The 27,984-nt window shown below is 40.8% G+C and overlaps 1 long non-coding RNA gene across 1 annotated transcript, besides 14 other annotated features; it reads right to left on the bottom strand.

Annotated features, from left to right (window-relative positions):
* Nucleotides 1-7: 7 nt before the first annotated feature.
* LOC101928893 (uncharacterized) lies at nucleotides 8-27,739 on the bottom strand. Its single transcript, NR_188357.1, has 3 exons — nucleotides 27,685-27,739; nucleotides 5,907-6,081; nucleotides 8-920 (listed from the first exon to the last, which is right to left on the bottom strand). It is a non-coding gene; the product is annotated as an uncharacterized LOC101928893 (long non-coding RNA).
* Nucleotides 6,158-6,277: an enhancer, noted in NCBI's record as "active region_21649". NCBI's record gives its function as "activates an Ori minimal core promoter by ATAC-STARR-seq in GM12878 lymphoblastoid cells {active_cell/tissue: GM12878}" and the evidence as "EXISTENCE:reporter gene assay evidence [ECO:0000049][PMID:35858748]".
* Nucleotides 7,795-7,854: a silencer, noted in NCBI's record as "silent region_15511". NCBI's record gives its function as "represses an Ori minimal core promoter by ATAC-STARR-seq in GM12878 lymphoblastoid cells {active_cell/tissue: GM12878}" and the evidence as "EXISTENCE:reporter gene assay evidence [ECO:0000049][PMID:35858748]".
* Nucleotides 10,687-11,320: a transcriptional cis regulatory region, noted in NCBI's record as "candidate enhancer chr4.1979 targeted for multiplex CRISPR interference". NCBI's record gives its function as "positively regulates BMP2K gene expression with high confidence in K562 cells {active_cell/tissue: K562}" and the evidence as "EXISTENCE:mutant phenotype evidence [ECO:0000015][PMID:30612741]".
* Nucleotides 21,306-21,877: an enhancer, noted in NCBI's record as "OCT4-NANOG-H3K27ac hESC enhancer chr4:79643097-79643668 (GRCh37/hg19 assembly coordinates)". NCBI's record gives its function as "activates a minimal SCP1, AML or CMV promoter by ChIP-STARR-seq in naive and primed H9 embryonic stem cells {active_cell/tissue: H9 hESC(naive and primed)}" and the evidence as "EXISTENCE:reporter gene assay evidence [ECO:0000049][PMID:30033119]".
* Nucleotides 21,878-22,448: an enhancer, noted in NCBI's record as "OCT4-NANOG-H3K27ac hESC enhancer chr4:79642526-79643096 (GRCh37/hg19 assembly coordinates)". NCBI's record gives its function as "activates a minimal SCP1, AML or CMV promoter by ChIP-STARR-seq in naive H9 embryonic stem cells {active_cell/tissue: H9 hESC(naive)}" and the evidence as "EXISTENCE:reporter gene assay evidence [ECO:0000049][PMID:30033119]".
* Nucleotides 21,878-22,797: a biological region, named in NCBI's record as "CRISPRi-validated cis-regulatory element chr4.1978". NCBI's record gives its function as "regulatory_interactions: BMP2K".
* Nucleotides 22,313-22,797: a transcriptional cis regulatory region, noted in NCBI's record as "candidate enhancer chr4.1978 targeted for multiplex CRISPR interference". NCBI's record gives its function as "positively regulates BMP2K gene expression with high confidence in K562 cells {active_cell/tissue: K562}" and the evidence as "EXISTENCE:mutant phenotype evidence [ECO:0000015][PMID:30612741]".
* Nucleotides 22,331-22,380: an enhancer, noted in NCBI's record as "active region_21648". NCBI's record gives its function as "activates an Ori minimal core promoter by ATAC-STARR-seq in GM12878 lymphoblastoid cells {active_cell/tissue: GM12878}" and the evidence as "EXISTENCE:reporter gene assay evidence [ECO:0000049][PMID:35858748]".
* Nucleotides 22,631-22,760: an enhancer, noted in NCBI's record as "active region_21647". NCBI's record gives its function as "activates an Ori minimal core promoter by ATAC-STARR-seq in GM12878 lymphoblastoid cells {active_cell/tissue: GM12878}" and the evidence as "EXISTENCE:reporter gene assay evidence [ECO:0000049][PMID:35858748]".
* Nucleotides 23,021-23,591: an enhancer, noted in NCBI's record as "OCT4-NANOG-H3K27ac hESC enhancer chr4:79641383-79641953 (GRCh37/hg19 assembly coordinates)". NCBI's record gives its function as "activates a minimal SCP1, AML or CMV promoter by ChIP-STARR-seq in naive H9 embryonic stem cells {active_cell/tissue: H9 hESC(naive)}" and the evidence as "EXISTENCE:reporter gene assay evidence [ECO:0000049][PMID:30033119]".
* Nucleotides 23,021-23,725: a biological region, named in NCBI's record as "Sharpr-MPRA regulatory region 1360".
* Nucleotides 23,431-23,725: an enhancer, noted in NCBI's record as "tiled region #1360; K562 Activating DNase unmatched - State 1:Tss". NCBI's record gives its function as "activates a minimal TATA promoter and a strong SV40 promoter by Sharpr-MPRA in K562 cells {active_cell/tissue: K562}" and the evidence as "EXISTENCE:reporter gene assay evidence [ECO:0000049][PMID:27701403]".
* Nucleotides 24,164-24,734: an enhancer, noted in NCBI's record as "NANOG-H3K27ac hESC enhancer chr4:79640240-79640810 (GRCh37/hg19 assembly coordinates)". NCBI's record gives its function as "activates a minimal SCP1, AML or CMV promoter by ChIP-STARR-seq in naive H9 embryonic stem cells {active_cell/tissue: H9 hESC(naive)}" and the evidence as "EXISTENCE:reporter gene assay evidence [ECO:0000049][PMID:30033119]".
* Nucleotides 24,735-25,306: an enhancer, noted in NCBI's record as "H3K27ac hESC enhancer chr4:79639668-79640239 (GRCh37/hg19 assembly coordinates)". NCBI's record gives its function as "activates a minimal SCP1, AML or CMV promoter by ChIP-STARR-seq in naive H9 embryonic stem cells {active_cell/tissue: H9 hESC(naive)}" and the evidence as "EXISTENCE:reporter gene assay evidence [ECO:0000049][PMID:30033119]".

Raw genomic sequence — 27,984 nt, 5'->3', positions numbered from 1 at the left:
ATACAAATTTATGTACAAAGACATTTATTTCAGCTTTATTTATAAAAACAAAACATTGGCATCAATGTATATATCAATCATAAGAGATTAGATGTAGTAGAATAAAGGAAAACTGATCATGCATAATATTGAGCAGGAAAAAACAAATTGCAAACAATATATACAACTTTAGTCCAATTTTGTTTAAACACATAATTTATGCATAGAAAAGTCCAAAGACATACACTAAAAAAGCAACAATTATACCTGAAAGGTGGATTTACGGATAATTTTGTTGAGATTTTCTCATATTTTCCAAATTTTCCATAACAAGCAGGTGTTATTTTGTAATTAGAGTATAACAAATATTATTAATTCAAAATGTGATATTAAGAATTTTTTAATATCCTCAACTAATCAACTGTTTATATCACTTATATGACTGAAAAGAAAAATAAAGGACTTTTATTTATTTTAGTACAATTTACTTTGTTAGTTGAATTCATGTAATTAAATGCTTAAATGAATGTTTGTAATTGTGTAGACACAGCCATGGATTTGCTTCTTTGTTTATCCTCAGAATTGATATGAATTCTGAGATGGGGTCTATTCCATCTCTTTCCTAAATATACACTTTTGTTTTTAGCTAAAATAGAAAATATTTTCCTGGCTGGGTGTGGTGGCTCATGCCTGTAATCCCACCACTTTGGGAGGCTGAGGCGGGTGGATCAAGAGGTCAGGAATTCGAGACCAGCCTGGTCAACATGGTGAAACCCCATCGCTACTAAAAATACAAAAATTAGCCGGGCGTGGTGGCGTGTTTCTGTAATCCCAGCTACTCGGGAGGCTGGGGAAGGAGAATCGCTTGAACCTGGGAGGCAGATGTTGCAGTGAACCGAGATCGCGCCACTGTACTCCAGCCTGGGCAACAGGGTGAGACTCTGTCTCAAAAAAAAAAAAAATCTTTTTTCAGAAGTAAAACATTAGCCATGTCATTTTATTTCCCAATAAGAAGTTATACCTTAGTATTTATATTATTTAGCTTCTCATCATGCTCAATTATATTTATGGAAAACATGATGTTCAAAGAAAAGTGTGAAGATCAAAGACCCAAGAACGGTTTTTTAAAGGTTAATATGTATTTCTTGAGTGTTATGATTGTAAGAGATGGTGCCACAGCAATTGCGTGCTTAAATCCAGGACGGGACCAGTTTCCCTCCCCAGAAGAGTTGAGTCAGTTTCAGTGAAGAGTTTAGTCCTGTAGGCTCCATTGCTCTTTGGCCTTATTGCTAAAATTGCCACAACAAAAGAGAAATGACACTATTTGGTACCAAAAACACCTGCCTACCCTCTATGACTAGAACCAAGATCAATTTATGTCTTGCAGGCCACTGAGCAGCCCAGGGAGAAATAGAGCTTTTGAGCAGTTATAGCTCAGATGCTTAATCTTCCATTTCCTTCTTTTGAGTCACTTAGGTCTCTCTTTAACTCCCACTGATCAGATTGTTTAGAATTCAAGCAAATATTTTCTATAATCTAGCTACAGAATTGATTTCCTTCTAATAAAAGACTCACAGAAGCTGTGTGAAATCAAAATGTAAATAGTAATCCAGCAACTGTGACAGAAAACAGAATATTTTCAACAACAGGTGGAAAAGCAGATTGTATTGCAGGAAGCACTAATATTTATTGGGAAAGGAATAATCTTGTCTTTGGCCAGAAAGGTAACCAGGAACATTGTGTATATATGCAAAGTTGTCTATACTTCCAGTCCGGCTAGAAGTCCAAACAAAACTTTTAGGCTTTATGGTAGTAGAGCTTGCCAAAAATTATGAGAATCTCAAAACTGGGGCTCATGGCTTTTACCGAATCCCTTTTTTCATTGGCATTGAGAAAAATAAAACAGTAGCTGTAACAGGTGTTGATCTATGATGAAAAGTTTTGACATGAATGTTGATAGGCTGAATTTCTAAAAAAAAAAAAAAATTGTGTGTTTTTAAACATCACATTTCAAAGCTTTTCTCAAATGTTAATTGACCTTGCTAGATTTCAAGATATTTTTATTTTCATTCACTTTATTTTGCAGTAAGAATTTTACAGAGCAGATTCTTTAGAAAGAAATTATTTTTGTAACTGTTTAAGGTGAGAAATAATTTGGTATTAAATTAAATATTGGTATTAAATATTAAATTAAATATATACAGTTACCAGTTCAGCATTTTTACTTTTTACCTTGTAAAACCCTTACTAATCACTACTCAGTAATGAGCTACTCAGTTAAAGGATGAGATCTCTTGAGTGTCAAATTTATCACTTCAAATCCTTGCATTAATTCCTTAGTATAACACTTGATATGTCATCTACCAGTTTCTCCAATAAGAAGCTTGACGGTGATCATGATGGTGATGGTCATGTCATGCATGCTATCCATATGCATTATCTGATGCTGACATTTGTCTGACAGCATCTGGCCCCTTGTTAATGTGATCTGCACTTTTTGATCAACCAAAAAAATTTTAAGACAACCACGAAAAGCAGGGGATTTCATAAATGTCAAGCATTTCTTCCTTCCAAAGGCTTCTACACTCCTGCCTTTGTCTCTCACTTTTTATGCCTGACAGGTTACCAAACTCTGATCTACTGGAAAGCATCTTACATCAGAAACACACACACACACACACACACACACACACACACACACACACACACACACGCTTTGAAGTTAGATACCTGAAGTTTCAGTTATTCACTCTACCACATTTTGTCTGTCTGACTTTGGAAAGTTTTCACAGTCTTAAGAGATTTTGAGGGGCCTCATGTGAAAGGGTAGTTAGGTACTTAGGGCAGTGAAAAGAATTGCTTTTGGTGATTGTTGTTCCAGGTCTCAGGCTGGGTCAAACATCTCTTATTCTAGGTATTCTAGATATATCATTTGTCCTTCTTAATGAGTAAATACCTTTCCACCCTGGGCACATTTAAATTTAAGTTTAGAAAGGTTTAAAGTAATCCAAACCATACTGTAAATATTTTTATATTATTAAGAAGGAATCTGGCTGGGTGTGGTGGCTCACGCCTGTAATTCTAGCACTTTGGGAGGCTGAGGTGGGTGGATCACTTGAGGTCAGGAGTTTGAGACCAGCCTGGCCAACATGGTGAAACCCCATCTCTACTAAAAATACAAAAATTAGCCAGGTGTGGTGGCGGGCACCTGTAATCTCAGCTCCTTGGGAGGCTGAGGCGCGACAATTGCTTGAACCAGGAGGTGGAGGTTGCAGCCACTGCACGCCAGCCTGGGTGCCAGAGTGAGACTCTGTCTCAAAAAAAAAAAAAAAAAAGAAGGAATCTGTACATATTTGGCATTCTTTTTTATAGCCAGCTCCTAAATACACATGCCTATCTGTTGACAATATCACATCATCAATATTTTTCAGTGAAAATTTTCCTAGTTAATTGAATTAGTTCAGATCTACTGTAGCGAGTCTATTTTTTTCTCTGTAAATTAAAATATGTTTAACTGAAATTTATATGTTCATCCATTTAGGTACGCAACAAATATTTACTAAGCCCCTAAAAGGCATCAGGTGTTTTATAGAAGCAAATAAGCCAGATGAGGCTGTTGCTCTTGTGGCGCTTCCATTCTAATGGAATTAGACAACAAACATACAAAAACATTTCAGATAGCGATAAGTGCTTTAAAGAAACGAAAATGTTAATTGGATAAAGAGTGACTAGGGGAAGTTTAATTACACTTCAAATCCTTGGACTAATTCCTTAGTATAACACTTGATAAGTCATCCACTAGTTTCTCCAACAGCAAGGAGGTTGGGAACAGCCTAGTCTTATTGCAAAAATCTCTTGCTGTAAAGGAAGCTTGTAAAGAGATTTCACAAGCCATAATTTCTGAGTTTACTTCTTTCATTTCAATTTAAAGGCTTAAAATACTTTAATCTTTTAAATCAGATGTGTAAATAATTCAAAGTATATGTTCATTGTTTATCTACTAAGCCTGATTATGTGAAATACTGTATATGTATATTAGTATATTATTCCCTAATTGAAAGAATCACTTAAACTTCCTCTTTCCTAAGTGTTAATTCATTTGATCAATTTGTAGTTGTGCAGTGCAGTGGCACAATGATAGTTCACCGCAGCTTCGAATTCCTGGACTCAGGCAATGTTCCTGCCTCAGACTCCCAAAGCGTTGGGATTAGAGGCATGAACCATTCCACCAGCCAGTTTGCAGTTTTTACAGTTGTTCTTTAGGCTTTTGGATAGTTTTAAAAACCACCTTAACAGTGACTTCTGTTGCCAAGAATACAACAAGGACAATAAATCACCAAGCAAATTGTTAGTCTCTTCTGTATCATCATTAAACAACAACAACAACAACAACAACAAAAGTGGCCAGGCGTGGTGGTTCATGCCTATAATCCCAGCACTTTGGGAGGCCGAGGCGGGTGGATTGCTTGAGCACAGAAATTTGAGACCAACCCAGGCAACATGGTGAAACCCCATCTCTACAGAAAATACAAAATTAGCCAGGCATGGTGTTGCAGGCCAGTCCAGTAGTCCCAGCTACTCGGGAGGCTGAGGTGGGAGGATCACTTGAGCCCGGGATGTAAAGACTGCAGTGAGCCGAGATCTCGCAGCTGCACTCCCACCTGGGTGACAGAGTAAGACCTTGTCTTCAAAAAAAAAAAAAAAAAAAAATGAACAAACAAACCAAACATACCTTCTAACTTCTCTATCTGAAAAACCATTTCCTTGAAGAAAAAAATTACCATTTTCTTTCAATCGTGAGGTCATTGGGAAATGATTATTTCCTCCTGCTGCTCTATCAAACTTTCAGGGACCAGCAGATGTAGCAGTCACAGCTACAAAAACTATTCTGTTTTCCTCTAAGAACAATAAAATATTCTAGAGTTGCAAATCAAGGTTGATGGATCCTTAGATGATGGATGAATGGAAATAGGACTTTTTATTTTTTCAGTAACAGTAAAATATTCACACACTGGCTGATAAGTTTTTCCTCTCTCTAAATTGTACAGTCCTACCATTTAGAGATTCTATTCTGGAGGTATCCCAGATGTATGTTACTTTAATAATCATAATCATAAAATAAACCTAATAACTCAATTGCTTGCTATATTGATAAGTTAAAAATCAATGTTGACTCCCTTCCAAGCCTTAGGAATAGGAAAACATTCTTACATTAGTTCTCCCTCACTTTTCCAGAGCATCTATGAGTTAAATGGTAGCACCAACTTATACAATTCAGTGGTATTTGAATGTAAAGTCCTAGAATAAATATTGGACAGAGGTAACTGTGTCCAAGATTCAAGAAGGTTAAAGAAATTATGGGGTGATAATAATTTAATTTGAGTATAGAGCAATCAATCTTTTCAGTTTACATCTAGATGAATGTTAAGATGTTTTGGCTGTGGTAACAGAAATCCTCACTTGAAGTGGCTTGAACAATAATATCTATTATCTCATATAACAAGAAGTCCAGAGGTAGGGTTGGATCCAAGGTTGGCTGATTCAGTGACTCAAATACTCGAATTCTTGACTTAGCATCCTCTGCTTTGCTGTCCTCAGGAGTGCTTTATCATGTTGTTTTTCTCTTAGCTGCCAGCAGTCATTGAACTACAAATGTCTCTTCCCTTTCCCTTTTCCTTCCCTTCTCTTCCCTTCCCTTCCCTCTACAAATTTCCCTTCCCTTCCCTTCCCTCCCCTCCTTTCCCTTCCCTTCCCTTCCCTTCTGTTCCCTTCCCTCTCCTCCCCTCCCCTCCTCTTCACTCCCCTCCCCTCTCCTCTTTTTTTCTTTTCTTTCTACTTGCCACGTTACCCAGGCTGCTCTCAAACCAATGAGCTCGAGCAGTCCTCCCACATCGGCCTCCCAAATAGCTGAAATCACAAGTACATACTACTGCATCCAGCTTCATGTATTCATTTTTATGTCCAGAAGAAGAGAGGCCAGGTACAGTGGCTCACAGCTGTAATCCAGCACTTTGGGAGACTGGGGCGAAATAATTGCTTGAGCTTAGGAGTTCAAGACCAGCCTAGACAATGTTAAGACAACATAGTGACACCTTGTCTCTACTAAAAAAGAAGAAAAAAAAATTAGCCAAGTGTGGTGGTGCGTGCCTGTAGTCATATCTACTCAAAAAACTAAGGTGGGAGGATCACTTGAGCCCAGGAATTCAAGGCAGCAGTGAGCTATGATGGCATCACTGCACTCCAGCCTAGGTGACAGAGTGAGGCCTTGTCTCAGTAAAATAAAATAAATGCTTCAGAAACAGTTAAAACACAAAAACAAAAAGAAACAAACAAACAAACAAAAAACAAAGAAGAGAAACCTATTCCCTAACCAGGCTGATTTGGCCTGCTTGGGTTATGTGCATATCCCAAACCTGTAACAGTTGTAATGCACAGATTGCTCTCAACTTAAGATTCATCATGATCAGGAGATGCAGTGGAATCAGGTTTTTTTTAAGCACATGGCTGTGTGGGAGAGGAGTTATTTGTGGGGTAAAGAGGAAATGGGTGTTGGGTAGGCAACCAATATTATGCTCTATTTCCAGATACTAAGACAATTTGCAAATGAAATCACAAGATAGCAACCTTTGAAACAATCAGAAAAGCAAGAAATATTCAAAACTGCAAAGAAGTTGACCACAAATAACAGACCAATAACCTTAACATTCTAGTTCAGAATCAAACTGGTTATGAGAAGCTGCAGACAGCTGGTCAGACCACAGGCCTCTCGGCCCACCAGATAGGTAAAGCCCATGAGTTCTCCCCCATGTTTGCCCCAACTCTCTCATCCCAGTCATCCTAGGCCGCTTGCTAAAAGGCAAACTCTTTTCTGTCATTATTATATTAGCCCCCATCTACTCCATTCTTTTTTTTTTTTTTTGATAAGGAGTCTCACCATGTTGCACTGGCTGGAATGCAGCAGCTCTTTCCAGGCACCATCCTAGTGCACTGTAGCCTCAAACTCGTGGGGTCAAATGATCCTCCTGCCTAAGCCTCCAGAGTAGTCAAGACTACAGGCATCAGCTACCCCATGCCCAGCTTACTCCATTCTTCCTTCTCTTGATTCTTTAATTACAAAGCAATCTTGCTACAGCCTTTATCTCTTTCCCTAATGTGCTTTTCCCCTTTTTCACAATTTAAAGTGTTTAAAGAGGAGCCAGCTTTTGTTCACAGGCGGTGTATGTGTATTAATATGCATGTGTGTGCATGGATGTGAAGATTTTGAAAGGTTTGAAAGTGCTCACCCCCCTCCACAAACCCTACACACCACCCACCCTACTCTGCTTGGCCGTTGATTTGGGTGTACCTGCAGCCCTACCAGCTTGAGTTAACCTAAACCCCATCTCCCTATCAAATCAAAGGAATTACGCAGTAAAGAAAAAAAGATGAAAATAGGGTGAGTGGCTGGGTGCAGTAGCTCACACCTGTAATTCTAGCACTTTGGGAGGGTGAGGCAGAGAATCACCTGAGCCCAGGAGTTTCAGACCAACTTGGGCAACATAGTGAGACCCTGTCTCTAAAAAAAAATTAAAAAATAGAATGAGATTGGAGATGTAAGTCTAGGGCTTCACAGAGGATGTGACACTTTAACTGACGGTATATAATCTAGACAAAACAGTGAGTGTTGAGGGCCTCCATTTAATATAGCTACATCAGTGGGTAAAGGATGAGAGATAAGACTGGACAAAAACATAAGGGCTACCTCTGGTGTTTTAAAGATTCAGGCCAATCTCTATTACTTCTGATTCAATTAGTCTGGGATGGGGTCTGGGCTTAGATATTTTTTAAAAGCTCCCCAGATTATTGCAATATGTAACTGGGTTGAGAACCACTGCTCTCAAGAAACACTGAAGCATTTCAAACAGGGTAATGATGGAGACAGATTTAAGTGAGAGCTCAAAGTGAAACTGCTTAGAATGAGAAGGGAAGCTTTTGAGAAGTGATGTGAGGTTGGAACCAATAGTGTCTGAAACCCTAGAAGAAGAAATAGCTATCAAAGTCAAATTCATTATAAAAGTCAAGACTCAGCCTGAAAAGAGACTATTGCATTTTTCTTATTACATTATTTGCAAGAGTAACTTCATATTACTCAGATCAGAAGGCTTGTGTCACCTGGGTTGAGGGGTGAATAGAAGGTAAAGAAGGGAGGGTATTTGCTTGTGAAGGGATGTCCATTGTAGGAAACATGGAGACTTTTTAAATTGGAACTATAATAATAATTGTAAATATTAATACATAAATATTAATATAATTATAATATAAATATAATTCTAATTGTAATAATGATAATTATATAATAATTGATCATTATTATAATTCCAATATAATTGTGTGCAAGTGATTTGAGATGTTTGTATGTTGAAATAAATTTGTTTTGCTGATGGCATAGATGAAAGTGATTTGCATGTTTTAAATCACAGTAAGCCCAATATGAGTATACCCTGTGACATGATCACTGCTATATTTGTGTCCACTCCCTCCAAAATTTGTATGTTGAAATCTTAATTCCCAAAGTGATGGTATTAGGAGTTAAGGCATTTGGGAAGTGATTAGGTCATGAGGGTGGAGCCCTCAGGAATGAGATTGGTGCCCTTATAAAAGAGGCCCTTGGGAGCTTGGTAACTCCTTTCGCTAAGTGAGAACACAAGAAGGTGCCATCTGTAAGAAAGTGGACCCTAACCAGACACTGAATTATGCCTTAATTTTGGACTTCCCAGTCTCCAGAACTGTAAGAAATAAATTTCTTTTATGTATAAGCCACTCAACTTATGGTATTTTGCTACAGCAGCCCTAACAGACCAAGATAATCCCCAGTGTACATATCTGGTGAGAGCATACTGGCCACTCTTACCACTGTGGTAAGAGTATGCCATTGTTATAACAAGTAGGACACTACTCTTTTCTAGTCCACAATGATCAGATCACCCAGAGAACTGTATTCCCCTTTTGGTGTCAATCTTTAGGAGATTTATAGACAAACTGGGGTCCATTTCGAGGGGAGTGGCCAAAATAGGGAATCGAAACCATGCTGTGTGACACACAGTTGAAGAAAATGAGAATATTTTGCCTGGAGAAAAAAATATTTGAGAGGACATAATGCTTTCTTTATAAATTTGCAGGCTATGATGTGAAAAATGAAGGGAACATTCTATAAATGCCTGGGAGACCATTCGTAGGCTGTCACCACAGCAAAAGTATCCTGGGGGCCTAGAAAAATAGGGAAAGCTTTTTCCAAGTCAGAATAGGAATGACTTACTGGAATAAAGGGCAACAACCTCTTTGAAGGAAGCCAAATTAGATGGTTTAATCAGAAAGGGAAAAGAATGTATGGAACAAGAAAACTAGTGTCCAGTGACCAAAGGAGTAGAGAGTAGATGAAGGCAAATTACCTCTTTTAACCTTAGAAGACGATGCAGTTGCTTCAAGCAACTGAAGTATAAAGGACAATACAAATCAAGAAGGACACAGGAATTCTAAGATTAGGTGGAAAATTTAAGGATATAGATTTTATGTCTTCATATCTTTATATTTAGAGATATCTATATTATTCTGTGTAATATGTGCTCATTTTAATAAAAAATTTAAACAATGCAGAAGCATAAAAAATTAAAAGAAAATATTGTTTTTATTCACACTTGAGGGCTTCTAATGAATAATACTCCTGTTACCTAAGCTCAAAACCAATGAGAGAAATACAGAGTGAGGTGGATAAAGATCAAAACGTCAGTTTTGTTACTGCTAGAACTACTGTAGAATGTGGCCTAGGTGGGAGGCAGTGGTGGGCCAGGTTACCACTTATCTGCCCTAGTCTCTAGGAGCATTGTACAGGCATAGCCTGCCCTCCTAAGTGAGCCTGTCCCCATAAACTTACAGATGGAGTGAAGGAATAGAGGGATGGTTTCTGCTAGAGTCTGATTCCAACCAGAGGGAAACAAAATGTGATCGAGCTTCACCTGTTCACTTTTACAAACCTGTCACTATGAGAAGCCACTCCTCCACCCAGGAGTGGTGGTTCTCCAATGCCTGCTGCTTGCCTGAATAAGAGTTGAAGACAATAAGCATTTCCCACTGTATTGCCCAGACAACCTCTAGAGACTGGAATGAGGAGTAAGAGCAAAGAAGTATAAGGGAAACTCTCCTCCAATGGAAACAAAAGGAGTGGGAGTAATTGTTTTCATTATCCTCCCCATGAAAAACACTGTTAACAGTTTGGAATTGTTTGGAATTTATCCTAGACTTTTTAAAAATTGCACTTGTATATAAACTTTTACATCTTTCGTACAAAAATCAGAATAATATGAAACTATTTTACAATTTTTTAAACTTAATATATTGGAGACTTAAAAAAAAAAAGCAGGTATTAGGGCTGGGCATGGTGGTTCACGCCTGTAAGCCCAGCGCTTTGGGAGGTAGAGGCAGGAGAATCACTTGAGCCTAGGAGTTCAAGATCAGCCTGGGCAACATAGTGAGACCCCGTCTCTTAAAATTTTTTTTTTATTTCAAATAGGTATATATAGATTCAACTTATTCTTTCTAATGATACTTAGAATTTTAATGAAATAAGTTTTCTTATTGATTGACATTTAAGTTCTTGCTAATTTTTTTACTGTTAAAAACTATAATGCAGTCAACACCATTGCTTAAACAAGGAGGTGTATTATTAGTGCTGTTGCAGGCATAGTGACCTGCTTGTTTCTGAACATATGTAAGCAACATGGCAGGTGTCATCAGAGACAATGGAAGCTGCAGATGAGCAGTTAAACCAGATGACAGTTGGGACCTGCACCAATAGTAGAACTCTGGCAAGTGAAGGAATTGTATACTACCAGTTGTAAAATTCCTTCCAGCCTTGACAAGATAGAGCTGCCTCATACTCATTTGCTCAAGTGGCTAGCAAGTGTACATTTAGCTAATTAACAGAAATTTCCCCCATCTTATCTGTGTTGTCTTTACTAACTCAGCAAGAGCTTTTCCTGGCCAACACTTCTAAGAAACCCTGGGAAAAAATTAACATCAGTGCATGACCTTTGAACCCAAGATCTCAACAGTTTTACCATTTTCTAATGAATGTTCACAGTACTATTGCCTGCTGGTCCATTAAGATAAGGAAAGGGCCAACCAACTTTTTAACGGTGGTAGCCAACATTACTTTTTTTTTTTTTTTAAGTGGGACAAAGTGTGACTGCTTAAAATCATGTCTGAGTGAAGGTTTCCTCTTATTCTTAGTGGGCCCAGATAGGAGCCTTTATTATTAATATCAACTTGTCAGCATTTTAGGACTTTTTTTTTTGGTGATGGAGTTTCTCTCTTTTGCCCAGGCTGGAGTGAAGTGTTGCAATCTCGGCTTACTGCAACCTCTGCCCTCTGGGTTCAGGCAATTCTCCTGCCTCAGCCTCCCAAGTAGCTAGGATTATAGGCGCCCACCACCACACCTGACTAATTTTTGTATTTTTAGTAGAGACAGGGTGTCACCATGTTGTCCAGGCTGGTCTCGAACCCCCGGCCCCAGGTGATTCATCCGCCTTGGCCTCCCAAAGTGCTAGGATTATAGGCATGAACCACTGTGCCCAGCTCATTTTAGGACATTTTAAAAGATAGGTGGTAAAAAGAAAAAGGGCTGCTGACCCTGAAGCCTTATGACTTAAGTTTGCTGTCTTGAAAAGTCTATAATAACTTTTTCTAACTTTTAATTTGGAAATTCACACTTACAGAAAAGCTGCATGAATAGTCTAAAGAACAACCATATACAGTTGGCCTTTCATCTTCATGGGTTCCACATCCACAAATTCAACCAGCCTCAGATTGAAAATGTTCAGAAAAAGATTACGTTTGGACTGAATGTAGACAGACTTTTGTTTCTTGTCATTATTCCCTAAACAATAGAACAACTATTTACATATTATTTACATTGTATTAGGTATTATAAAAGTAATCTAGAGGTGATTTAAGGTATATGGAAGAATGTGCATAGGTTATATGCAAATACCGTGTCATTTTATATTACTCAGGGACTAGAAAATATGGATTTTGTTATGTGCTGGAGGTCCTGGAACCAATCCCCCATAAATACCAACAGATGACTGTATGCTTTGAAAAAATGTTTATGGCCAGACGCAGTGGCTCACACCTGTAATCCTAGCACTTTGGGAGGCTGAGGCGGTGGATCACTAGGTCAGGAGATCGAGACCATCCTGGCTAACATGGTAAAACTCCCATCTCTACTAAAATACAAAAAAAAAAAAAAAAAAAAAAGCTTAGCCGAGCATGGTGGGGTGTGCCTGTAGTCCAAGCTACTCAGGAGGCTGAGGCAGAGGAATTGCTTGAACCTGAGAGGCAGAGGTTGCAGTGAGCCAAGATCGCACCACTGCACTTCAGCCTGGTGACAGAGCGAGACTCCATCTCAAAAAAAAAAAAAAAAAAAAAAATTGTTTTGAGACAGGGTCTTGCTCTGTAACCCAGGCTGATCTCTAACTCCTGGGTTCAAGCAATCTTCCCACCTTAGCCTCCCAAATGCTGGGATTATAGGCATAAGCCACCACGCCCAGCTAAGAGTATACACTTTACCCAAATTTACCTATTGTAAACATTCTGCCCATTTGCTTTATCTGTTTCTCCCATTCTCTCTCTTTCTCTTTCTCTGTTTATACATATACACATGTATACATACAAACATATAGATGCGTATTTTTCCTGAACTTTTAAGAGTAAGTTGCATATGCCTAAGGATAATATTCTCTTATATAACCACAGTGCAGACTACAGTTTCAGACATTGCTTTCCTCTCTACTTAATTTAATAAGGAATACATTTAAATGCATATTTCTGGTTCTCACCTTAAAGTTTTAATGTATGGTTCTTCAACAGTATTTTAAGAACCTATAAAATATTTCTAGTATTCTTCTATAAGGGCTCCAACTTTTACACATGCCTCATCCTTTAAACTTGATAGATCTCTGTCTTTGCTTGAATTTCTGATAAAGACTTGGGTGCAGGCAGTTTTAGGGGCAGGTGACCTCAGCGAGCTAGAGTGAGGGAATTAGACAGGGAAGGAGGAAAAGCTGACATAGGGCGCATTATCAAGGTAACTGATGAAGATAGTTTGTACGTGACCTCTTGAGGAGCATGTGGAGTAACTCTCAGAATTGCTCACCTGAATAACGGGATATGAGAAAATGTATTGAGGTTTTTATCCCCATTGGTTGAGGAATGCCACTGGGAAGCTTTGATTCTTCACTTTTAGACTATTTTTCTGTTAATGAAATTCCTGTTGAATTTGATGTTGATGCAAGAATTAGTAAATTTACGTGGACAGATGTAGGCTTTTACAACATAGTCAAATCTATTCTTCTAAAAAAGAAGAACTAGTTTTGTTAATGTCGATGTGAATATTAAAGGAAGATATATACATATATGTACATGCTAGAGTGACAAGAAAACTTAAGTACGTTTGGAGCAACTTGAATACATGAATATATATTTTCAATGTAAATTTTATGAAATCTAAAGTCACATAAGATATTTCTGATAAAAATTTAAGATCCAAATGGGAATGTACTGTAAATGTGAAATACACACACTGGATTTCAAAGACTTTGTATGAAGAAAGAATGTAAAATGCCTTATTAATAATTGTTATATTGTTTCTATGCTGAAATAATACTTTTGGCACATTGAGTTAAATATATAACTTATCATTAATACTTGTTTCGCCTATTTCTTTTAACCATTTTAATTTTAGCTGCTAGAAAGTTTTATTTTTATTTTTTTCAGACCGAGTCTCGCTCTGTCACCCAGGCTGGAGTGCAGTGGCACGATCTCAGCTCACCGCAACCTCTGTCTCCCAGGTTCAAGCAATTGTCCTGCCTCAGCCTTCTGCGTAGCTGGGATTATAGGCACACACCTCCACATCTGGCTTTTTTTTTGTATTTTTAGTAGAGACGGGGTTTCACCATGTTAGCCAGGCTGGTCTCAAACTCCTGACCTCAGGTGATCTGTCCACCTCAGCCTCCCAAAGTGCTGGGATTACAGGCACAAACCACCAAGCCCTGCCAACTACATTATGTTTTTATTGGACCGTGCTGCTCTGAATAATTAATTATAAAACTTATACAACACTAAAACCATTCAGTAAGTTAGCAGCGTATAAAATTAACAGGAAACATGTAAAAATTAATATTTTTTGCATACACAAATAAAATCCAATTATTTTATATCTTTTTAAATACCCATTTAATGAGGTATCAAAAAAAGATAAAATATTTAGGAATAGCTTTTACAAAAAATATTTATTTGTTTGTTTATTTCTTTATTTTGAGGCAGAGTCTCGCTCCGTCTCCCAGGCTGGAGTGCAGTGGCATGATCTTGGCACACTGCATCCTCTGCCTCCTGGGTTCGAGTGAACCTCCTGCTTCAGCCTCCAGAGTAACTGGGATTACAGGTGCCCATCACCACACCTGGATAATTTTCGTATTTTTAGTAGAGACAGGGTTTCACCATGTTGGCCAGGCTGATCTCAAACTCCTGACCTCAAGCGATCTGTTCACCTCACCCTCCCAAAGTGCTGGGATTACAGGTGTCAGCCACCGTGCCCAGCCTACAGAAAATATTTAATATCCATGAAAAAAAGCAAACCTGGCCGGTCGCGGTGGCTCACGCCTGTAATCCCAGCACTTTGGGAGGCCGAGGCGGGCGGATCACGAAGTCAAGAGATCGAGACCATCCTGGCTAACACAGTGAAACCGCGTGTCTACTAAAAATACAAAAAAATTAGCCAGGCGTGGTGGTGGGTGCCTGTAGTACCAGCTACTCAGGAGGTGGAGGCAGGAGAATGGCGTGAACCCGGGAGGCGGAGCTTGCAGTGAGCCGAGACAGGGCCGCTGCACTCCAGCCTGGGCGACAGAGCGAGACTCCGTCTCAAAAAAAAAACCTATAAAGCATTCCTAAAGACACAAAGTAAGACTAAAACAAATGAAAACATGTCCCTTGTTCTTGTCTCAAAATCATCAAGATATCAGTTGCCTACCTAATTCAAAATTTTAATGTGATTCCAATAAAAACAAACATTATTTTTGAAACTAGGCAAGTTTCAGAAGTATAGTTCATATGAAAAAATAAACATCCTAGAATATCTAGGAAAACATGGCAAAGCAAGAGCTATAAGGAGGGCCTAGCCACACCAGCTTTTAAAATAAAATGTAAGGCCTCTATAATTAAAATCATATGATACTGGTACACAAGTACTCAAACAGACCAATGAAATAGAGTTAAAAGTCCAGCAATAGAGTCAACTACATATGGAAATTTCATATATGATAATGATGGGATTCCAAATCCCTGAGAGAAAGATGGGACTTTTTAATAAATGGTGTAGGGACAACGGGATAGCCATTTGGAAAAATATGAAATTAGATTCATTCCTCACAGCATACATAAGAATAAACTCCAAATGAATCAAAGATCAAATGTAAAAAAATGAAACTATACAAGTACTAGAAGAAAACATGGGTGAACTTCTGGGCCTGGTGTGGTGTCTGGGCCTGGTGTGGTGTCTCATACCTGTAATCTCAGCACTTTGGGAGGCCAAGGTGGAAAAATTGCTTGAGCCCAGGAGTTCAAGACCATCCAGGGCAATATAGTGAGACCTTGCCTCTACAAAAAATTTAAACAATTAGCTGAGCATGGTGGTGTGGGTCTGTAGTCCCAGCTACTTGAGAGGCTAAAACGGGAGGATTGATTGAGCCTGGGAGGTCAGGGCTGCAGTGAGCCAAGGTCACGCCACTGTACCTCCAGTCTGGATGACAGAGCAAGACTCTATTTCAAAAACAAACAAACAAACAAAAAAACAAAACCCCCCCACCCCACAAAACATTTTTATTAGAACCATTATATACATGTCAAAAATAAAACAGGGTTAGTTCTTATGTCATTCTCCAATTCCTCTGAAGATTGAATCAATGGTAACTTATTACTTTGGCTAAAGCAACAGTTCTGATCCAATCTACATTCTCTTTGTGACTCTCTAATGGCAGGAAATCTTGAGAACTAGATGTGATAAGAAAATAAACAGAGGCAGGCCAGTGTGATGGCTCATGCCTGCACTTTGAAAGCCTGAGGCGAGAAGATTGCTTGAGTCCAGGAGTTCAAGACAAACCTGGGCAACATAGTGAGATACCCGCCTGTACAAAATTTTTTTTGAAAGTTAGCCAGGCATGATGGCATGCACCTGTAGTCCCACCTACTCAGAAGGCTGAAGTGGGAGGATCACTTGACTCTAGGAGGTCAAGGCTGCAGTGAGCCGTGATCACAATACTGCACTCCAGCCAGGGTGACAGAGTAGGAAACCCTGACTCAGAAAAGAAAAAAAGAAAAAAAAAAAAAGGCTGGGCGCGGTGGCTCAAGCCTGTAATCCCAGCACTTTGGGAAGCTGAGGCAGGTGGATCATGAGGTCAGAAGTTCGAGACCAGCCTGGCCAAGATGGTGAAACCCCGTCTTTCCTAAAAATACAAAAATTAGCCGAGTGCAGTGGTAGGTGCCTGTAGTCCCAGCTACTTGGGAGGCTGAGGCAGGAGAATCGCTTGAACCTGGGAGGCGGAGGTTGAAGAGAGCTGAGATCGTGCCTCTGCACTCTAGCCTAGGTGACATAGCGAGACTCCATCTCAAAAAAAAAAAAAAAAATGGAAGGAAGGAAGGAAGAAAGAAAAAAAAAAGGGAAGTAAAGGGAGGCAACTCAGCCATACAGAAATCCAGGCCCAGCTCTCACAGCTATAAGGAGGATCTTCAGTGATTATCCTGGGAGAAATAATATCATATTGATATCAGAGAGCAGGCATAAATAAAGCAGTCTAAGTGAATGTCAATGAAGGGGATCAAAATATGCCACCCCAAAATATGACACTTTAACATATGGATTATTTTGAGCTGAAGGCAATTGAGAAACAGCAGATGTAGGAGGAATTCTCTGCCTGCCCTCTGCCTAACAGCAGGGCATAAATTTTTCTTTGTAAAAGTGTCCCTTGATTACTCTTCCATACCAAGAGGACAAGATGACTCTTAGCACAGGAAATGAAAAATCAGCACTGAGATGGGTAGCACAAATAAAGCTTTCTAAAATAACTCTTACGTTCTATTAGTTTCCCCCATATATTTACCTTCTCTCAATTTTACCACTCCTAGAAGTACAAACATCAAACCTCTTTTTTTTCTCATCTGGTCACTTCACAGTTTATCACCCTTTGTTATAATGATATATAAGCTCCCAGCCATTATTGCTTCTACGGGTTTTAAATTCTTTTCCATGAAGCCCCTATGTGCCTGCAAAATCAGTAATTTTTTAAAAGTCCTATTATTTTATTTTATTTCACTTTTTAGAGACAGGGTCTTGCTCTGTCACTCGGGCTAGAGTGCAGAGGTATAATAGTAGCTCACTGTAACCTAAGCAAGCCTCCCACCTCAGCCTCTTAATAGTTGGGACTACAAGTTGTGCCACCACACCTGGATAATTTTTTTGTGGAGGCAGGGTCTTGCTATTTTGCCTAAGCTAGTCTTGAACTCCTGCCCAAGAGATCCTCCTGTCTCGGTCTACCAAAGCACTGGAACTACAGGCACATGCTGCCACACCTGGCCTGGAACAAATTTCTATTATCTCTTTTTTGTCACAGATTGACACAGAGAAGTTTTCCCTTTCCCTGCACCAATAATATCACAAAGAGTTTCGATTGATAACCACTGAGAAAAAAAATGGAAAAATGTCGAATTGTTCTCTGAGGTACAACTATTGTGCTTTGAGGAAAACTGATAGTGATATGCCATATTTAAAGTTGTACACTTCCTCACACCTATAATCCCAGCACTTTGGGAGTCTGAGGCAGGAGAATCTCTTGAGGCCAGGAGTTCAAGACCAGCCTGGACAACGTAGCAAGACCCTGTCTCTATACTATTAATAAAATTAAAAAAAAGTTGTCAGCTCTAATGGATAAGGTTTTAATGTTTATTTTGTGCACAAAACATCCTGTTTTGTGATTATACATTTTTATTTGATCTATTTTCTCCACTGCCAATATGGCATGAATGTCTGATACACTTGGTTAGCTTACTATTCCTATATTAAAGGATAATTTTTAAAAAGGAATGGGCTAGGCGCGGCACCTCACATCTGTAATCCCAGCACTTTGGGTGGCCTTGGCAGGCAAATCACTTGAGGTCAGGAGTTCAAGACCAGCCTGGCCAACATGGTGAAACCCCATCTCTACTAAAAATATAAAAAATAGCCAGGCATCATGGCATACACCTGTGATCTCAGCTACTTGGGTGGCTGAGGCAGGAGAAGCACTTGAACCTGGGAGGTGGAGGTTGTAGATCGCGCCACTGCACTCCAGCCTGGGCAACAGAGCGAGACTCTGCCAAAAAAAAAAAAAAGAAGAAGAAAGAAAGGAAGGAAGGAAGGAAGGAAAGAAAAAGAAAGAAATCATGGATTTTATACAAATACAAAATGAACACATGAAATATTTTATTTATAAGGCAACTGTAAGATGTGAAAAACAGTTCATAGAGACTTCAAAGAACAGACACATCTACTGGCAGTCAGGAATGCTGAAATGAATTTGCTAATAGAGGCAAACTAGTCTCTTCTATATATGAAACCATTGCATATTCACTTTGACAAAATTTGTTTGCAGTTCTATGAACAGAAATTGTTGGCATTATTATCAATTTTCTACAACTTACAGAGTTATAAGACAGCTCATTCAAAGACAGGGAAAGGCACAGACCCCATACAATGAGACAAACCCTGAAAGGTATACTAGATAACACTTCATATTCCATTAAAAAGACACCTGGAAATAAAAATCTTTTTTTAAATTTTCACATTTCAAAGTTTCACAAATTTTCCTTAAAAGTTGTTATATGATAACACACACACACACACACACACACACACACACACACACACATGAATTGGCCTGATTATTTACATAGGTATGGCAAAAGTATTAATTAACCATATTGATTTTTTTTTTTTTTTGATGGAGTTTCGCTCTTGTTGCCCAGGCTGGAGTGCAATGGCATGATCTTGGCTCACGGCAACCTCTGTCTCCCAGGTTCAAGCAATTCTCCTGCCTCAGCCTCCCGAGTAGCTGGGATTACAGGCACATGATACCACGCTCGGCTAATTTTTTGTATTTTTAGTAGAGACAGGGCTTCACCCTGTTAGCCAGGATGGTCTCGATCTCCTGACCTCGTGATCCGCCAACCTCAGACTCCCAAAGTGCTGGGATTACAGGAGTGAGCCACGGCACTGGCCATCAATTGGTGGGGCACTTATAGAGTACTTAACTAGTACTCTATAAATGCTAATTAAAGAGAGCAATGTTTTAGCTCTGAAATAGAATTATATAAACTTAAACAACACATTTTTTCATTTTTAGTACCTAGAATATTATTCTGTTCAGTTGGATGTATTATTGAAGTGAGGAACAACCTGCAGTCAAACATTGAAATGGGCATACGCCCTTGTCCTCCTTTGTCCCACATTGCTCTGGGGCATGATTGACCTGCTGCAGGTGTTGTTCCAGAAAGGGTCAGTTTGCTGCCATTGTACGTTTCCCTAGGCTATCTCATTTGTAATCCCTTCTTCTTCCCCCTTGTCTTAATCAGTTTGGGCTGCCATAACAAATACCATAAACTGGGTGGCTTATAAACAACAGAAATTTATTTCTCACAGTTCTGGAGGCTGAAAGTCTGAGATCAAGGTGCCAGCATGGTCAGAATTATGTGAGGGCCCTTTTCCAAATTGCAGACGGCAGACTTCTCATTGTATCCTCACGTGATAGAAAGAAGCAAGGCTGGGCACGGTGGCTCACACCTGTAATCCCAGCAATTTGGGAGCCGGAGGCGGGAGGATCACCTGAGGTCAGGAGTCTAAGACCAGCCAGGCCAACATGGTGAAACCCCCATCTCTACAAAAAATACAAAAATTAGCCGGGCATGATGGTGGGTGCCTGAAATCCCAGCTACTTGGGAGGCTGACCTGGGAGAATCAAGAATCGCTTGAACCCAGGAAGCAGAGGTTGCAGTGAGCCGAGATCACGTCATCGCACTCCAGCCTGGGCGACAGAACAAGATGTCAAAAAAAAAAAGAAAAAGAAAAAAAAGAGATCTCCCTGGGGTCTCTTCTTATTCATGAAAGCTCCAGTCTCATGGCCTAATTACCTTCCAAAAGACCTGCTTCCAAATACCATTATATTGGGGGATTAGATTTCAACATATTATGAATTTTGGGGAGACACAAACATAATCCATGATGCTCTCTTTTTTCTTTGATTAGAAAATTGGCAATAGTTGTTTCTAAACTTACAGGACTCCTCTCAAGATAACTGCTGAGAATAGAGGGAAATTCCTGGTAGATATAGATATTGATATACAAATAAGCTCCCCAAAAATGTCTGATAAGGGCAGAGTGAGGGGTGGTTTACATTCCAAGGTCCTCACTGCTGTCAGTCAAGGGGATGCAAAGTAGTGAGCTGGATGGGAGGCCTGTGAAATCCTAGCAGTGGATAATCAGATAAGGGGGAAAAAAATAGGGAAAAAATGGGCTTGGCTTTCTTTGAGACATTAAGGTCTTGTTCTGCATTCACTTACTCATTCTCACTTACTGGTTTATTTATTCAGCAATATTTATGCATTTATATAACAGGCCCTGTGGTACTCACTGGGCACAGGCAGACTCTTGTTTAATGGCCTGCATCATTCCCATCTCTGGTTACTTGCACCTTCTCTCTTGTCTCACTGTTACAGCATTGATTTTTATAACATGTCTATTTCCTTTCATAAAATTAAAACTTGAAGGCAGTGGAGTTCCCCATTGTTTGATTTTTCACAGTCCCTAACCTAATTCTTGGGTTTTAATGGACTCTCAAAAAGTGTTTGCGGCTTTGATTTTTTTTTAATCTCAAAACTTGGTGATTGTTGGTGAGAAATTTAACCAATTATTTCATGTTAACACCTTGTGGACTGTAAACATGTGCTAAATCAAGCAGCTCAAAATGTCTGGGCTACTGGAACTCACTAAGCAAGGCCTTAAATAGGATAGAAGCTGCTGGGGAGGTCCTGGGCCTCCAGTCACTCCAGAAGGACCAGCATTTGACCTCTGAGGGAGGCCTGGAGAGGGAAGGGAAGAAGAAGCCTCAGGACTTACTCAAAATGCACATGCTCAGAGGTTCAGGTCTCTACATTTTTGCTTTCCCCCTTTTCACTTTCACAATTACAAGGGACTGTAGTCCTGTCCACCCTTTGGGGCAGGGGATAAATGCGGCTCCCAGGGACATTTTTTTGCCAAGCTTCCTCTCTCATTCCCATTCACTCCTTCCTTCCTGTTTGCAGAGAAGCTCATAGTTGTATTTAATTCTTCAGTGAGGTTTCCGCTGGCAGCGAACAACTGCTGTTAGTTCGTTTTGAAAGGAGCTTTACTTCATTAAAACACGGTGAAAGGAGGATTGCAATTAATAGAATAATAACTAAAAATGGGCATGTTAAGTGCCCACTCTCCAGAAGGAGAGTGAGAATGAAGAAAAAGTAGAGTCTGGAAATCCTAGAAGTTCCCAATCTGGAGAAATCTCAGGTTTTTAAATATATGCCCTGGGGCCTTGCTATTCAAAGGGTGGTTCATGAAAGAGGAGCATCTCCATCCCCCGGGAGCTAGATAGAAGTTCTAGATAGAAGTTCAGGACGTCTACAGTTAGAAGCCCACTGCAGACCTAAAGAATCAAAATCTGCATTTTAACGAGAGCTCCAAGTGATTCTTCTTCACATTAAAGTTTGAGAAGTGCTGATACTATCTCGATAGATTTGAATTATAAAAGACTTCAAACAAGGGCTTTGCACTTTGCCCTCAGGGAACCTATTCAACTGCCCCCTGTCTCTCATTTTGGCTGTGTACTCAATCATTCCTGTGGAACAGAAAGGATCACTTTGGGCTGAGCTCAGCAGTTACACCAGATTCATGTTCAGATGTCTGGAAGCCTCTCAGCCAGGAAGGAAAAATTATATTGTAACTTTTCACTCTAGCAAGAATCAGGTATTGTTTGTTCCATTTTATAGATAAGGAAATTGAGGTTCAGAGAAGTTAAGTAATTTATTCAAGATCACCCTGTCAGCAAGTGGCATGGTTGAGTCAAGCCCAGGTCTACCTAACTCCAAAGGTCATGCTTTTTCATATGCATGATGCTTTTGTGGTCACTATTGTTAGCTATATTCTTTTTAAGCAACACTTTACTGGTCTCTCCCTTCAGAGTACATATACTTTTTTCAGGATATATTTATATAAGAGCCTAAAGTCATGCTCTTTCATAAGGTTTGAATTTAGTTACTTACAACTGCCAACCACCCCATCCCCCTTTGAACAATTTTCAAAGCAAGGTTCTTTCACTGCTGAGGGGAAGGAAACAGAAAGGCGGAGTGACCGAGCACGGGTTCCACTTCGGAAATGACCCCGAAGGGAGTCTGGGCTGTGCCAGAAAGAGGAGCAAGATAAAAGAGCCCAGGACTCAAAACCGGAAATGGAAGAGAACTGTGTACACAGATGATTCTGTCACCTTTGGCAGTTCTGCCTCTGTCACCTCATCATGATCAACTCCGCACCAGATACAGAGGGGGCAGACTCAAAATGTCAGCAGCGACAATGCCAATGCCACAATATGAGATACCCTCACCAGAAAGGATTCGGCGTGGTGCTATGAACATGGCTGCATGCTGCAATCTTATGACACAGTCCAGCAACTTGTGGGGGAAAAAAAGAAAAAAGAAAGGGGGTTTGTAAGCATGGGGAAAGCAGGAGCTAAAAGTTATAAACGGCAACCCCAAACCTGAGTAGAAGATTTCTATAAGGCCTTCCATTATTTTAGAATATAATTCTAATATTAATGAACTTTTTGAAGTAGACCAACCCTCTTCTGCATTTTAAAAGGAAAAAAAAATGTACTGTACATTGAACTCTGCAATATTTCCCCCTCAGTTTTACTTTTTCGAAAAGGTAAAGCCACAGAAAAATTGAAATAGTAGTGAAATCGCCTTTGCAAAAATTATAACCGTAAGAAAATTATGACAGTGAAAGAGATCTCATCTAACCAATCCCCATCTTGCCCTTAATCTTCAAACTGCCCTTAAGGATTCCTGGGCTTGGGCCAAGCTAACTTTGGAATACATTTAGTTTATAGTTTAAATGATAATAGCCCTTTCCAAAACTAAACTGCCTTTGTAAAGCTAATGAATGACCACTAGATTAGAATGAAAGGAGCCTGAATTCTGCTGTAGTGTAGATGGAAAGGACTACCAGCCATTATTCCAGAGATCACAAGATTTGTGACTTCCCCAATTACTCCTGCAGATCACATCACTCTTGGAGAACCTGAGATTAGCCTTTTCAGGTTTTTGTCTCTGAAGGCTGATGGCTCCACCGATCCTGCCAACTGGTCCTGTGGCCACACCCGGAAGCGGACTCAGCAGGCTCAAGGACACTTTCCACACTCCTAGGACTGCATCCCCAACCAATCAGCAGCACCCATTTCCTGGCTCTCCAAACTGTCCTTGAAAATCCCTAACCTCCAAATTTTCAGGGAAACTGCTCTGAGTGATAAAACTCCAGTCTCCTGTTCGGCAGGCTCTGCATGAATTAAACTCTTTCTCTATTGCAATTCCCCTGTCTTCATAAATCGGCTCTATCTGGGCAGTGGGCAACATGAACCCACTGGCTGGTTACAATAGTACAATGAAAACCTGTATACCCATCATCCAGATTTAACAATCGTTAAGATTTTGCCTTTTTCTCTCTTTCTCTCATTCTGTTGTTTTTTTCCTCTATTTCAATTTGACTGGTATCTGGGTTGTTTTTTTTTTTTTCACGGATAATTTATCATCTGTTGTTTTTAATTGAACCATTTTCACAGCATTTCATCCCTTAATACCTTAATACAAGCAGTAAGAACAAAGTCATTCTCCGCATAACTATAATATCATCATCACTTCTAAGTAATATAACATTGATTTAATATCATATAATATATTGTCAAGGGCCAAGGGAAAACTTCTGTCAGGCCTCTGAGCCCAAGCCAAGCCATCACATCCCCTGTGACTTGCACATATACGCCCAGATGGCCTGAAGTAACTGAAGAATCACAAAAGAAGTGAATATGCCCTGCCCCACCTTAACTGATGACATTCCACCATGAAAGAAGTGCAAATGGCCGGTCCTTGCCTTAAGTGATGACATTACCTTGTGAAGTCCTTTTCCTGGCTCATCCTGGCTCAGAAAGCACCCTCACTGAGCACCTTGTGACCCCCACTCCTGCCCGCCAGAGAACAAACCCCCTTTGACTGTAATTTTCCTTTACCTACCCAAATCCTATAAAACGGCCCCACCCTTATCTCCCTTCACTGACTCTCTTTTCAGACTCAGCCCACCTGCACCCAGGTGAAATAAACAGCCATGTTGCTCACACAAAGCCTGTTTGGTGGTCTCTTCACACAGATGTGCATGAAATTTGGTGCCGTGACTCAGATCGGGGGACCTCCCTTGGGAGATCAATCCCCTGTCCTCCTGTTCTTTGCTCCATGAGAAAGATCCACCTACAACCTCAGGTCCTCAGACTGACCAGCCCAAGGAACATCTCATCAATTTTAAATCAGGTAAGCAGCCTCTTCTTACTCTCTTCTCCAACCTCTCTCACTGTCCCTCAACCACTTTCTCCTTTCCACTCTTCAATCTCTCCCCTCTCTTAATTTCAATTCCTTTCATTTTCTGGGAGAGACAAAGGAGACACATTTTATCTGTGGACCCAAAACTCCGGCGCCGGTCACGGACTGGGAAGGCAGCCTTCCCTTGGTGTTTAATCATTGCAGGGACGCCTCTGTCATTATTCACCCATGTTTCAAAGGTGCCAGACCACGCAGGGACGCCTGCCTTGGTCCTTCACCCTTAGCAGCAAGTCCTGCTTTCCTGGGGAAGGGGCAAGTACCCCAACCCCTTCTCTCCTTGTGTCTACCCCTTCTCTGCTTTTCTGGGGGAGGGGCAAGTACCCCTCAACCCCTTCTCCTTCATTCTTAGCGGCAAGTCCCGCTTTTCTAGAAGAGGGGCAAGTACCCCAACCTCATATCTCTGCACCCCAATCCCTTATTTCCGTGCCCCAACCTCTTATATCTCTGTGCCCCAATCCCTTATTTCTGTGCCCCGACCTCTTATCTCTGCACCCCAATCCCTTATTTCCATGCCCCGATCCCTTATTTCCATGCCCTGATCCCTTATTTCTGTGCCCCAACCCCTTATTTCTGCACCCCATCCCTTATTTCCATGCCCTGACCTCCTATCTCTGTGCCCCAACCCCTTTTCCCACTTTTCTGGAAGGTAAGAACCCCCGAACCCCTTCCCTCCATTTCTCTACTCTCTCTTTTCTCTAGGCTTGCTTCCTTCATTATCATCAACCTTCCACCCTCCATTCCTCCTTCTACTCCCTTGGCCTGTGTTCTCAAAAACTTAAAACCTCTTCAACTCACACCTGACCTAAAACCTAAATGCCTTATTTTCTTCTGCAATGCCGCTTGACCCCAATACAAACTCGACAGTAGTTCCAAATAGCCAGAAAATGGCACTTTGAATTTTTCCATCCTGCAAGATCTAAATAATTCTTGCCGTAAAATAGGCAAACGGTCTGAGGTGCCTGACGTCCAGGCATTCTTTTACACATCAGTCCCTTCCTAGTCTCTGTGCCCAGTGCAACTCTTCCCAAATCTTCCTTCTGTCCCTCCCGCCTGTCCCCTCAGTACCAACCCCAAGCGTCGCTGAGTCTTTCTAATCTTCCCTTTCTACAGACCCATCTGACCTCTCCCTTCCTCCCCAGGCTGCTCCTCGCCAGGCCGAGCTAGGTCCCAATTCTTCCTCAGCCTCTGCTCCTCCACCCTATAATCTTTTTATCATCTCCCCTCCTCACACCTGGTCTGGCTTACAGTTTCGTTCCATGACTAGCCCTCCCCCTCCTGCCCAGCAATTTACTCTTAAAAAGGTGGCTGGAGATAAAGGCATAGTCAAGGTTAATGCTCCTTTTTCTTCATCCCAAATCAGAAGCGTTTAGGCTCTTTTTCATCAAATATAAAAATCCAGCCCAGTTCATGACTTGTTTGGCAGCAACCCTGAGACACTTTACAGCCCTAGACCCTAAAAAGTCAAAAGGCCGTCTTATTCTCAAAATACATTTTATTACCCAATCTGCTCCCAACATTAAATAAAACTCCAAAAATTAAATTCCCGCCCTCAAACCCCACAACAGGATTTAATTAACCTCGCCTTCAAGGTGTACAATAATAGAAAAAAGTTGCAATTCCTTGCCTCCACTGTGAGACAAACCCCAGCCACATCTCCAGCACACAAGAACTTCCAAACACCTGAACTGCAGCGACCAGGCGTTCCTCCAGAACCTCCTCCCACAGGAGCTTGCTACACGTGCCGGAAATCTGGCCACTAGGCCAAGGAATGCCTGCAGCCTGGGATTCCTATTAAGCCGCATCCCATCTGTGTGGGACCCCACTGAAAATCGGACTGTTCAACTCACCTGGCAGCCACTCCCAGAGCCCCTGGAACTCTGGCCCAAGGCTCTCTGACTGACTCCTTCCCAGATCTTCTCGGCTTAGCGGCTGAAGACTGACACTGCCTGATCACCTCGGAAGCCCCCTAGACCATCACGGACGCCAAGCTCCCAGTAACTCTCACAGTGGAAGGTAAGCCCATCCCCTTCTTAATCAATATGGAGGCTACCCACTCCACATTACCTTCTTTTCAAGGGCCTGTTTCCCTTGCCTCCATAACTGTTGTGGGTATTGACAGCCAGGCTTCTAAACCTCTTAAAACTCCCCATCTGGTGCCAACTTAGACAATACTCTTTTAAGCACTCCTTTTTAGTTATCCCCACCTGCCGGGTTCCCTTATTAGGCTGAGACACTTTAACTAAATTATCTGCTTCCCTGACTATTCCTGGACTACAGCTATATCTCATTGATGCCCTTCTTCCCAATCCAAAGCCTCCTTTGTGTCCTCCTCTTGTATCTCCCCATCTTAACCCACAAGTATAAGATACCTCTACTCCCTCCTTGGTGACCGATCATGCACCCCTTACCATCTCATTAAAACCTAATCACCCTTACCCCACTCAACGCCAATATCCCATCCCGCAGCACACTTTAAAAAGATTAAAGCCTGTTATCACTCGCCTGCTACAGCATGGCCTTTTAAAGCCTATAAACTCTCCCTACAATTCCCCCATTTTACCTGTCCTAAAACCAGAGAAGCCTTACAAGTTAGTTCAGGATCTGCGCCTTATCAACCAAATTGTTTTGCCTATCCACCCCACGGTGCCAAACCCATATACTCTCCTATCCTCAATACCTGCCTCTACAACCCATTATTCTGTTCTAGATCTCAAACATGCTTTCTTTACTATTCCTTTGCACCCTTAATCCCAGCCTCTCTTCGCTTTCACTTGGACTGACCCTGACACCCATCAAGCTCAGCAAATTACCTAGGCTGTACTGCCGCAAAGCTTCACAGACAGCCCCCATTACTTCAATCAAGCCCAAATTTCTTCCTCATCTGTTACCTATCTCGGCATAATTCTCATAAAAACTCACGTGCTCTCCCTGCCAATCGTGTCCGACTGACCCCTCAAACCCCAGCACCTTCTACAAAACAACAACTCCTTTCCTTCCTAGGCATGGTTAGCGCGGTCAGAATTCTTACACAAGAGCCAGGACCACACCCTGTAGCCTTTCTGTCCAAACTTGACCTTACTGTTTTAGCCTAGCCCTCATGTCTGCGTGCAGCAGCTGCCACTGCTGTAATACGTTTAGAGGCCCTCAAAATCACAAACTATGCTCAACTCACTCTCTACAGTTCTCATAACTTCCAAAATCTATTTTCTTCCTCATACC

Source organism: Homo sapiens, chromosome 4 (genome assembly GCF_000001405.40).
Source record: "Homo sapiens chromosome 4, GRCh38.p14 Primary Assembly".
NCBI classification, from domain to species: domain Eukaryota; kingdom Metazoa; phylum Chordata; class Mammalia; order Primates; family Hominidae; genus Homo; species Homo sapiens.
The sequence above is the reverse complement of the archived record's forward strand: the minus strand, read 5'-3'. Positions and strand labels throughout refer to the sequence as shown.